This window comes from Homo sapiens, chromosome 12 (assembly GCF_000001405.40).
Source record: "Homo sapiens chromosome 12, GRCh38.p14 Primary Assembly".
Lineage (NCBI taxonomy): Eukaryota > Metazoa > Chordata > Mammalia > Primates > Hominidae > Homo > Homo sapiens.
This window is the reverse complement of record NC_000012.12, coordinates 131,445,298-131,457,777: the sequence shown is the minus strand read 5'-3', so window position 1 is coordinate 131,457,777 and position 12,480 is coordinate 131,445,298. Positions and strand designations below refer to the sequence as shown.

Genomic DNA, 12,480 nt, shown 5'->3' with positions numbered 1-12,480 from the left:
CACTGCTCCAAGACCCAAATACTGGGGCTGTGGATGGAGAACCTGGCTGGAGGCAGTCAGGGCTCCGCTGTTCAGGGACTTAAGTAAGGGGACTGAGCTGGCCTGGGGTTGGTCGCACACTCACTGTGGCTGCACATTCCCGTTCTCTGCTTCCAGGGCAAGGAGAGGACCGTGCATCCTCAGTGACAGTGGTGCCTCACCATGCTTTAGAGAAGCCTGTCCTTGCCCCCGAGCTGCTCTCCATGGAGTCCTGTTTGCGCACCGGAGGTCCCTGTGAAGGAGCGTCCATCAGGTCTGGACGTGCACCTGACCTCGCTGACTGAGAACGTGGTGACTAAGGTGACTAATGCTCCATTACTTCTGCGTCTGATACCCAGGTCCATGCAGGCTTCTCTGGCCTCTGTCCTTGGATCCTTAAATTAATCCAAGGATGCAGCAGTTGGGGCCTCACTGGAGAACTCGTGTATTTACCACACAGGAGACTGAGGCAGGGAGTGGGTTACGGAGGGGACGGGAGAGCTGAGAAGTCAGATGGGGGCTGGGAGGCAACTCAGAGGCCAGGAGAGAAGGCGGCGGCTCCATCCCTGGGCTGGAGCGGGGTGGGTGGTGCTGGCGGAGCCCAGGGCTGGGGTCTCTGGGGAAGCTGGACCCACAGCAGCCTCGGTGTGCAGGAACGACGTGCGCAGCAGGCCGGAGGCTGCCTGATTCTGACGCGTGTTCATGGAGGCCCGTGTGCAGCGATGAGCCCCAGCCAGCATCCGGGTGATCCCCAGCCAGCATCCGGGTGATCCCCAGCCAGCATCCGGGTAATCCCCAGCCAGCATCCGGGTGATCCCCAGCCAGCATCCGGGAACTTGGCTTTTGGAACGTTTCCTGAGTGACTGGTTGACCAGGTCGTTTGTGCACTCAGGGAACTAAGCCGTTCCCTACCAGCTGCCTGGACTCTGCAGTGTGATCAGCGCACGCCTGACTTCTGTCACCACAGTGGCTGCACAGGCAGAGGGTGCCTATGTGACCAGCCCCCTGTAGAAGCCCCGCACTCGGAGACCTACACGGCCTCCCTGGGAAGCGACACTCTGGATGTGTTGCTGACTTGGTTGCTGGAGCAAGACGCGTGTTTGGTGGACTCCCCTGGGTCTTTCTCCCCTGCTGATCTTGCTACGTGGCCTTTCTCTGTAATAAGCCATGGAGTCCACTCTCTAATCACGCAGTGTGTGGTGGCCCCAGGACCCCTGAGACGTGGAGCTGGCAGGGAAGACAGGCAGCTGCCCGAGGCGCTTGAGGCAGAGAAGGATGGGGAATAGCCTGGCTCCTCCCCGCCCCCCATCACCCACCAGGGCCTCTCACTGTCTGAGCTCAGCCTGAGGCTAGCTGACCAGGGGTGTGGGAAGCCCAACTCTACAAATTCGCAGCAGATCAGCCCCCAACCCCCACAAATTCCCAGCAGATCAGGAAGGGCGGGGCATGGATGAAAGGGCATCAGGGCCACAGGCCCAGGACAGGCACGTGGGTTGCTCTTGGAGGCATTTGCAGGTACACTAAGAAGCTCCAGGAAGGACACACACACACACATATACACACACATACACATACATATGCACACACATACATACACAGACACACACACACACGTACACAGACACACAGACACACATACACACACACATTCCCCTGCCCTCCCATCTCCAGACCTTGCGGTCCCCATGAGCTTCCCGATTCCTGGCACTGCCGGGCTGTCCTGAAGGCTCTTTTGGCCAGAAATGGGCAGGGATCTGAGAGCACCTGCTGTCGGGTGAGTCCTACTGTACTCATGTCAGAGATTAGGACGAGAAGACACAGGAGTGAGCTGGGCTGGAGTCTCAGCTGCAGATGACAAGGAGAGCACAGTGGAAAGCCTGGCCCACCTCCCCTCCCCACTGGGCCCCTGGGTGGGATACCACCATTTCCAGAATGGGCTGTGGGTTGCGCGGGCTCCTGAGGTTCGCTGAACCGGGGCTCTGAGGGGTCCCCAAAGTGCTTCCTCCCTGTCCTGTGCCCCCACCCCATGGGGTGGAAGAGCCGCCCACAGGCCTGGGTTCCGCCATGCACAAGGGAACTGGACCTTGGTGACTATTCAGGAGGGAGTCTCCGGGCTGCCCTTCCCATGACCACATGTCAATCCCCTTTGGCCCCAAGGGAATTTCTCATAACCCTCCCTTGGAGGAGCCCCCTCGGTGCCAGCCCACCCTCATCACTCTCTCCTGAACCCCCATGAACAGACTCCGTGGCGCCTCCACCTGCCTTTGTCCCGCCAACCCTCCCTGTCCAGAGCAGCCATGGGGCCTCTTACAGTTTTAAGTCTGTCTGCATCACGCGTTTCCTCAGAGTCTCCTCAGGCTGGGTGAGTCCTCGTCCTAATAGGCCCTGACTGCCTGGCGCTGCCTACCTCTCCTGCCTCAGCAGGAGCTGCCCACACCTGTCCTCAGCCAACCAAGCTCCTAACCGTCGGGGATCCTGGGACTCGGGCCTGCCTTTGCTGGACACTTCCGTCAGATTTCTACCTGGCCACGTTCCACTCTTTCTTAAGGATTCTGCTTAAAAGTCACGTCCTCTAAGGCTCCTCGCTGGCCTTCCCCACCACATTGATGTCCAGGTAAGGAGCTCGGGGGTTTAAGGAGCAGATGGAGCTGTGGGGCTGGGCACAGATGTTGAGGCAGGGGTGGGGGCAGGAGCCAGGGAGTGTCAGGCTTTGACCCAGAAAGGAAGGGAGCCATTGGAGGGAGCGTGTGGCCTGGTGACTGTGGTCGGGAGACGTCTCTTCCTTAGGCGATAGTTGCTGTGGGCATGTGAGGAGTGGCTGGGAGCTGCTGCATGGCCGGGCTGTGTATGCCCTGCATGGCCACAAGGGGGGCAGGTGCTCCTGCAGTGGAGCTGCTTGCAGTTCCTGTCCCTGCCGTGTCACATGGGCCTCTGCAGAGTGTGAGAGGGTCCCTTGCAACTCTGTGTGATTTTGTAGTGTCTTCCCCAGGAACACCCTCCCAGTCACATAAACCTCAGGCCCACAAGGCCTGGGCGCCTCTCCTGCTTCCCTATGCCATGTGCCCCGGGGACGAGGGCCCCACCTGCCAGCTTGTGGACTTCAATTCCCATCAGTGCTCACCCTACTGCAGCCCATTCTCACTGCAAATGCTCTTTGTTTTATTTATTTATTTATTTATTTATTTATTTATTTATTTATTTATTTTTGATAATTGGGAAAACTTTTAACTGTGATTCATTACATTAATACCCAATAGATGCATCTGGCAAAATAATTAAATGATAAAAATCACAATAATTTTAATTTTAAAATCAAAATAATTTAAATCAGCTTAGTAAAACCTTTCTCACCTTCCACCTATGCATTTCATCAGTGAGAAAAATCTTGATCTAGTGAAGTTGGGGCAGGGGCAATGTATAAGCCCTCTTACCTCCCCAGGACACAGCATAAGTCTGGAATAGACAGTTCAGGAAGCAGTCTCTTAAACTGCATCGTGATGATGAAGTCCTATATTAAGTAAGATCCCAAAGATGGTTAATAGCAGGCAGGCTAAGAGCTGTAACCTCTAGTCTTTTCCTTATGAAATATTGCTTCCAGTTTAATTGATTTTATTTAGATGGGTTTACACTTAAACACAGATATTCAGGCAGCACTTGTATTTCCCTAGGGACTCTGTTTATAAACATTCAGAGATAGTTATGGATAAAGTTAGAATATCTTTCCCTCTTTTGCTTAATATTTATTAAGGACTTACTATGTGTTATATTCTGTGCTATGTGTTTTACATAAAATACATCATCACAATGACCTTCTTTTGCAGATGAAGAAACAAAAGTTCTGAGAGGTCTTCAGGAACTTGTATATAATTACAGAGGTAATAAGGATTGGTTGGAAATGAAACCAAGGGCTACCTCCTGTCCCCAAAGCTCATGCTCTTAACCCCTTCACCATGAGTTTCTGGTTCTATTCCTAGACTCTAGGCATCATATACTCCTGTTAATACTTTCTGTCTTCAAGCAAGTCCATTTACATTTATATTATAAAAGGTTAAATTGTTCATGAATATAGCTTCTAGATTCAGACCACCTGGATTCAAATTTAGACTCCACATATACTGGCTGTGAGATATTGCCCAGTGTGCATAATCTTGCCAAGGCCTCAATTTCTTCACTTATAGTATAGGGAAGACAGTATGGCCTACCTAGTGACAATGGATGGTTGTGAGGATTAAACGAGATAAATCATGTAAAGCATTTGCCTGACTCTTATTAAGTGTTCAATAATACTCTCATAGAGTGTAAACTCCTTTGAAATTAGGCATAAGACTTTAGGTATATAAAGAGCCTGAACAGAGATGTACTTGAATTCACGTCTTTATAAAACACAAAAATTATTGCAACAATCTTCAAATAGTCTTCAAGCCTTCTCCACACATTGTTGTAATCTATGTAAAGGAAAATAAAAAAATCTCAGCCAGGAGCGGTGGCTGAAGCCTGTAATCCCAGCACTTTGGGAGGCCAAGGTGGGCGGATCACCTGAGGTCAGGAGTTCGAGACCAGTCTGGGCAACATGGTGAAACCCCGTCTCTACTAAAAATTCAAAAAATTAGCCAGACATGGTGGCATACACCTATAATCCCAGCTACTCTGAAGGCTGAGACAGGAGAATCACTTGAACCCGGGAGGCAGAGGTTGCAGTGAGCCGAGATCGCACCACTGCACTACAGGCTAGGCGACAGAAGGAGATGCTATCTCAAAAAAAAAAAAAAACAAAAAAAAATCTCAGGACCCCATTCTCCTTATGCCTGGAGACTGAGTCGTGCAACACCCCTTCCAAATGAATAGCTGTTACTAGCATCGTGAATAGCCAGATCCCCATGAAAAGGTAAAAGTCCTCAGGTATCTACAAAAGACTGGCCTGTTTTATTTTTAAAATGCAATTCCGTCCAAAGCAGGAAGGGGGCAGTGGCGCTGAGAGGCACAGCGGTGCAGAGGACGCCCCGTGGCCGGTGTGAACGCCCAGCTCCTGATTCATGTGCAGGGTGCTTCACGGGAGGGTTGGAAGGTGGTTATATCAGAATGGCACATTGCAGGAGGGACTTGCCTGCCATTGCTTGGACCCACAGCTGCAGCGTTTGCATGCTGAAAGCTGTTGTTATTCTAACTGTTGACACGGGGCAGCTCCAGCACAGCTCTCAGCAGGAAGCCTGCTCCTCCCCCAGTGTCTGTGGCACCATCACTGAACCAGTATCTGCAGCAGCCAGCAAACTGACTAATTACTGATGAGCCCCTTGTTCCTCATGACCCACTGGCTCTCATCTGGGGCAGGCCATGTGCAGAACATTTCACCCAACAACAGCAGGAAACACATTCTCTCCACGTTCACATGATACGAAGAATACATCCTATTCCAGGTGATAAAATAAGTCTCAGGAAATTTTAAAGAATGACATTATACCAAGTAAGTTCTCCAACAACACTGGAGTGAAATTAGAAATCTGTAATAGAAGAAAACTTGGTAAATTGGTCTATATGTGAAAATTAGACAACATATTTCTGAACAATAAAATGGGTCAAGAAGAAATCATAAGGGATATTAGAAAATACTTTGAGATGGATAAAAACAAAAGCACAATATACCAGAATTTATGGGATGCTGTGTCACAGGGAAATTTATTATAGCCACATACATCTAGATTAGACAAGAAGAAATATCTCAAGTCATTAACCTAACTTTCCACCTTAGGAAGCTGGGAAAAGAAGAGCACACTAAGTCCAAAGGAAGAAGAAAAAAGTGAATACAGATTAGAGCAGAAATAAATGGAATTCTACTCATTTTGAAGAATCAAGAAAATCGACAAAACTTTAGCTATGTTGACCCACGAAAAAAGAGGGACGATTCAAATGATTAAAATTAGAAATGAAAGAAGAGCATTACTACCAAGCTTATGAAGAATGAAAGATTGTAAGGAAATACGGCTAGGTGCAGTGGCCCACCCCCATAATCCCAGCACTTTGGGAGGCCAAGGTGGGCAGATATCTGAGGTCAGGAGTTCAAGACCAGCCTGGCCAACATGGTGAAAACCCATCTCTGCAAAAATACAAAAACTATCCAGGCATGATGGTGGGTGCCTGTAATCCCAGCTACTTAGGAGGCTGAGGCAGAAGAATCACTTGAACCCGGGAGGCAGAGGTTACAGTGAGCCAAGATTGTGCCATTGCACTCCAGCCTGGGTGGACAGAGAAAGACTCCATCTCAAAAAAAAAAAAAAAAAAAAAAAAGGATTATAAGTAAATACAATGTACCATGTACACCAACAAATTAGAAAACCTAAATGAAAGGAACAATCCCTAGAAAGTTGCAAATTTCCAAAACTGACCCAAGAAGAAAGAGAAAGCTTGACTAGACCTATAATAAGTAAAGACATTGAGTTCATAAATAATAACAGTTTCTACAAAGTAAATTACAGGACTAGATGGTTTCATTGAGAAATTCTCCAAATGTTCAAAGAAGAAACACCAATCCTTCAAAAACTCTCCTAAAATATGTGAGTATGGAATACTTCCTAACTCATTCTCTGAGGCCAGTTAGTACCCTGACACTAAAACCAGACAAAAGTATTACAAAAAAGGAAACCATAGATCAATGGCCTTAAGAATACAGACACAAAACTCCTCAACAAGGTACTATTAATCTAAACTGAGGAGCATATAAAATTATAATTAAAAATTATTACCAAATAAGATTTTTTCCCCTGGAATGCCATGTTGATTCAACATAAGAAAATCTATCAATATAACAGTATATTAATAGAGCAAAGAGCTAAAACTATGTGATATCTCAATAGATGTGGAAAAAAATAGTTGCATTTGACAAATCCAACACTTTTTCATAAAAAAAGTATTCAACAAATTAGGAATGAAGGGAACTTCCTCAACCAGCTGAAGGGCATCTATGAAAAGCCTATAGCTAACATCATGCTTCAGAGTGGAAGATGGAACTATTTTCCCATAAGATGAAGAATAAGATAAGGATGTCTGTGCTCACCATTTCCATTCAATATTGTACTGGAAGTTCCAGCTATGGCACTTAGGTAAGGACATGAGATAAAAGGCATCTGGATTGGAAAGGAAGAAGTAAAATTATCTCCATTTGCTGAGGATATGATCTTATCTATAGAAAACGCTAAACAACCTACACACACCCACACACAAAATCGGTTAGAGCTAATAAATGAGTTCAGCAAGGATGCAGAATACAAGATCAATACACAATCTCAGCTGCACTGCTAAACACTATCAATGAAAAAACTACAATGGAAATTAAGAAATAAGTGCCATCTATAAAAGCATCAAAAGGAATAAAACAGGAATAAATTCAACTAAAGACATGCAATATTTGCTTACTGAAAACTATGAAACATTGTTGAAAAATTAAAGAACTAATAAATGGAAAGACATCCCATGCTCATGTATTGGGAGACTGAATACTGTTAGGGTGGCAGTGTGCGCCAAATTGATACAGATTTAATGCAATCACTAGAAAACTCCAACTGTCTCTTTTGTAAAAATGAATAAGCTGATTCTAATTCCATAAAAGCCCTGACTTGACCATTATGCAATCTATGCATGCAACAAAATTGCACTTGTACCCCAATTTATCGCTTACCCCATAAATTTATAAACTGCATAAATTTATACAAGTAAAAAAATAAAATTCATGTGGACATGCAAGGGACCTAGAATAGCCAAAACAACTTTGAAAAAAGAACAAAACTGGAGGACTCACACTCTCAAGTTCAAAACTTACTATAAAGCTACAAACTGAATAGTCCACAGAAGAGTGAACTTGGATCCTCACCTCACATTATGTATGACAAATAACTCAAAATGAATTAAAGACCTAGAAATAATAGCTAAAAATATAAAACCCTTAAAAAACACAAAAGTACAAATCTTCATGACCCTGGATTAGGCAACTGTTTCTTAGATTTGATATATATATATATATATAAACAAATAACCAAGGGGAAAAAACATAAATTGGACTTCATCAAAATTAAAACATGTATGCACCAAGGAACACTATCAAGAAAGTGAAAAGGCAACCCAGAGAATATCTGATAAGTATCTGGTATCCAGGATATATGAAGAATTCTTAGAACTCAACAGTAGAATGAAAAATAAATTTTAAAATAGGCAAAGTATTTGAATAGACATTTGTGCAAAGAAGATACACAAATGTCCAATAAGCACATGAAAAAATTTGCATCTTTAGCCATCAGGGAAATTCAATCAAAATCACAATGAGATACCACTTCATACCCACTGGGATGCCTATAATTTTAAAAAAAAGCAAAATAATAAAAGAATAAGTATTGGTGAGGATATGGAGGAACTGGATCCTTTATTCATTGTTGGTGTGAATGTAAAATGGTGATGCCGATAGAGAAAATAATTGGGCAGTTCCTCAAAAAGTTAATCATAGAATTATCCCATGACTCAGCTATTCCACTCCTAGATAGACACTCAAGAGAACTGGAAGACATGTTTACGCAAATACTCATACACAAATGGTCATGGCAGCATTATTCATAATAGCCGAAAGGTGGAAATAACACAAATGTCCATCAACAGATGAATGGATTAGAAAATGTGGTCCATCTCTACGATGGAACGTTATTTAGCCATAGGAGGGAATAAAGCACCGCCACAGGTTACATAGTGGATGAACCATGAGAACATTTTGCTAAGTGAAAGAAGCCAGACACAGAGGCCACATGCCATACGATTCCATTCATATAAGGGGCCCAGAAACTGCCAATCCATAGACACAGAAAGCAGCTGGTGGTTGCCAGGGGCTGGGGAATGGAGAGAGGAATGCACGCAATTTTTGGGGGGTGGGGTGATGAAAATATGACTGTTGCATAACTCTAGGAATGTACTAGAAACTAGTAACTTGTGCAGTTGGTGCAATTATATGGTATGTGAATGATATCCCAGTTTTTAAAGTGTAAAAAATAAAAGAATTGGGGAGCGACTGGACACATTGGGGGTGCAGGTGTAGGCAGTGCAGGCCCAGTGTTTGCACTCAGTGGGGGCAGGGAGCAGCCCCCGCCTGAGGCTCCTGCACCTGGGAGCCCAGTGTGAGTCTCATTTCTTCCTTGGACCGGGAGGCAAGTGTGTGGGTGAGCAGTGCGGGGCTGGTGTGGGCTCCTCTCCTGGGCTCGCCTCCCTCCCTCCCCGTCTCCTGCACAGCGCCTGTCCCTCCCTGGTGTCTTCCGGTGCCTAATTTCCTGGGTATCCCAGACGCCTGACTACTCCTTCATGAACCTCAGTCAGTTCTGTTCCTGTCCGGAGATGCCTCGCCCAGGGAGGCCCCCACAGTCCCAGTCCCTGAGTTCTGGCCTCCTCCTGGGTCAGGGCCCCCAGCCAGGGTGTTGCCCTTCCAGCATCTCCGAAGAAGCCCTGCTCCCACCAAGGGAGGCTGTCCGCCCTACAATTTCTCCTTTTAAAATTAACTTTCCCGATATTTTCCTATTCTAAGCACAACTCATCATTGCAGGAAATTTAGAGACTGTAGAGACGTAAAAAAAAAAACAAAGTCCCCATCCATGGCCAACGTTTTCCCGAGTTGCACAAATACAGACAAGTGATATGTTTTTCTTTGTTAACAAAAAATGTAACCACCCCGTTCAGGTTATTCTTAAGCCTGACTTTCTCACTACATGGTGTTTTGTAAACGGTTCTTCATGAAAATAAAATAACCCTCCTGGGCCTCTGTTTCAGCAGCTGTGCGGCATCCCCCCGCGCCGTCTCCATGGAGAACCTGACCCCTCATTCGTGGGGCGGAAACTCACCTGAGCTGAGCTCCAGGGCATCTCCGCGGGGAAGCGGGGTTGGTGGAGCAGCATCTGCCCTCCTCAGTGCCCCAGAGACAAACTGGCCCAGAACCCTCTTCCAGCAGAGGAGCCCTGCACCCCTGGGAATGGGGATCAGTGGGCCCTGGTGGGTGGGCACTGCAGACGGGGCGCTGAGGCCGAGGAGGGTCCCCACAGACCAGGCAGACCAGACGGTGATGGCTTTAGTCTGGGCCACAGCAGCCTGTGCCCCTCAGTCTGCCTTTTCCATCTCAGGAAAAGCCCCACCCTCCCATCCACCAGGGGCACTGGTTTCTGCACCAGCTGCCTCCCTCTCTCCAGTAATGGCTTTTGCTTTGCCTTGGAGGAGCCCACCCCTGTTGGACGCAGATGAAGATGCCAAGGGGAGCCTGGCTGACCATGGAGCCATCATGGAGGGAGGCAGAGCTGAGGGCGTGGGGAGGTCCCAGCTGCATCACAGGAGCCCCTGGATCCAGCCGCACCTGAAGGTAGCTACCCTTGCACCTCTGAGTTACATGAACCAATAAATCCCTTTCATTCTTAAGCCAGTTTGAAGTGGGTTCTGTCCCTGACAAATGAAGTCCTAGTTGGTACCCTTCTCTGTTCCTCCCACCCCAACTTCAGTCTTATCAGCCTGGGAAAATTCGGAGAGAAATGAGGGGGCCGTGGAGAGCCAGGTTCTGAGGCTGTGCCCGCTGCACCCCTCCCACCACATGGGTGGGCCGATGTTTAGGAAACGCTACTTCCATCAAAGCCTTTGGTAACATCCTGGTGCCCGCGGCACCCACGACTGGAGAGCCGTCCCCAGAGTTTCTGTCTGCTCTGATGAGCCCCCAGCTGCTCTCCCCAGACACCCCTGTGCTCAGCAAGACCCCAGCTCCTCTCTGATATTGGATCCTGTCCCGCCTCCCCAGCTGTGCTGACCTCTGAAGCAGGAGCTTCGGAATGTCCTGGGTTTCTTGGCTCCTGCAGAGCCCCAGGGTCCCTGATAAATGTCTGGCAATGGTGGTGCACCCGGTAACTGTTCACCCACTCCCATAAATATGCCGTTTACTGCTGAATTATAAAGGGTGTGGGAACGAGAGAGTTTCAAATCACTTCTCATTCTTATGGTTTGAATACATTACCACCATGATCTAATTAGGCTTGTATTTCATGCAGAGACCACACTTCAAAGTAAAATTAAAAAATAATTCTACTATGAGAGGAAATGAATGTTTCTAATATAAAATTTCAACCGCTGTGCTTGGCAGGCAGGGAAGCATGCAGAGCCTCGTTATCCTAATTGAGGAAGCCCTGGAAAGGAGAGCCATTAAGAGAAGTGACATTTTCCTGGACGTCTGTCCTGAGAGCTTTCCATCCCTCCCAGATGCTCCGGGTCTCTGAGCACCCCAGCCTGTGGGTTCTGACAGGACGTGGGTGGGGACGGGACGGGGCCTCAGGCAGGTGCCCCAGCCCCGTGGAGGGGAGCAGTGGTGGGGCGGTGGGGACTTGCTCAGACCCTCCTTTTCCTGCAGTTCCAACGTCGCACGGTGGGACTCTGGGCAGGGTCCTCCCTCTCCATCTTCCCCTCGCTGGGACCCAGCACGGCACAGGAGGGGTGGCCAACACCATTTAGACATCAGAACTGTCCAGAGTGTTCTGCCCTCTGTCTTAAGTCACGACCCCGGATTCCCCAGGCAGCCACACACAGCGGTCTACACCGGGAGAAAGTCGCCGTGAGAACTGTGGCACCGCAGGAGGCTGTGCGTGTTTGCTTTTGTTGATCTGTTTAACTGCAGCCCTGATTTATTCCTGGGGTGGGGGTAGGTTGGTACGGTAGGTGGGTTAGTCTGTGACCATCAGCAGGCGGTCCTTCATCCCACTCTGCTTGTTCCCTTGGATGTATTTTTCCAGCGTGCACAGGGAACCTCCTTCCTTTTGGTAAGGGATGCTGATGGCCTAATTGATTGATTGCTGTTATTGACCTAGCCCGGCTCCCAGAGGCCTCTGTGTCAGGGCTGCTTGGGATTTGTTGAGGAAACATAGCAAGCTGTTCCTCTCATCGTCATTTGTCATCTGTGTCTGAATGTTCATGACACGTTTTTGACCTAAGGTACCTGATCTACATGACAAATTATTTGAGAACATAAAATCTGAACTTGAAATTTTAGCAAGAAGAAAGCCGACGTTCGCTTTTCACCTTCACTTGGGCTCGGAGCTGTCTCAGAAAGACATATCTGATTTCTGTTACATGAACGACATGTTTCTTTTTTTCCAAGTTCTGAGGCCTCCAGATCACAAGTCAGATTAGGACCAGGCCCTGAGAGGCGGGAAAATCCTTCCTGAGCTCTTGTGGTCCCAGGACCAGAGACCACGTGAGAGTTAACTCCTCACTCCCCACAGGGCTCTGGGGGAGTTCCCCTTCCTGCTAGAGGGCTTTGCATGGAGAGCTGGGCCCTGCCAGGGCGAGCCCCCTCCAGGCCAGCTGCCCTGGGTGCTGGGAGGAGCGGCTGCCCCGAGGCGAGGACTGATCTGTGTTAAAAACTGGAATTCTGAAATGACAATGGAATCTGAAAGAGAGACCAGGGGATTCCCAGAC

At 47.8% G+C, this 12,480-nt stretch overlaps 1 long non-coding RNA gene across 1 annotated transcript in view, besides 2 other annotated features; it reads left to right on the top strand.

The window, feature by feature from the left end:
* LOC101929974 (uncharacterized) overlaps window positions 1-4,798 on the top strand; it is a 76,895-nt gene extending 72,097 nt beyond the window's left edge. The window contains exons 4-6 of the long non-coding RNA NR_187798.1: window positions 157-339; window positions 672-2,632; window positions 3,840-4,798. This is a non-coding gene — a long non-coding RNA (uncharacterized LOC101929974). The remainder of the gene's footprint in view (window positions 1-156; window positions 340-671; window positions 2,633-3,839) is intronic.
* Window positions 2,601-3,106: an enhancer, noted in NCBI's record as "H3K4me1 hESC enhancer chr12:131939217-131939722 (GRCh37/hg19 assembly coordinates)". NCBI's record gives its function as "activates a minimal SCP1, AML or CMV promoter by ChIP-STARR-seq in naive H9 embryonic stem cells {active_cell/tissue: H9 hESC(naive)}" and the evidence as "EXISTENCE:reporter gene assay evidence [ECO:0000049][PMID:30033119]".
* Window positions 2,975-3,024: a silencer, noted in NCBI's record as "silent region_5097". NCBI's record gives its function as "represses an Ori minimal core promoter by ATAC-STARR-seq in GM12878 lymphoblastoid cells {active_cell/tissue: GM12878}" and the evidence as "EXISTENCE:reporter gene assay evidence [ECO:0000049][PMID:35858748]".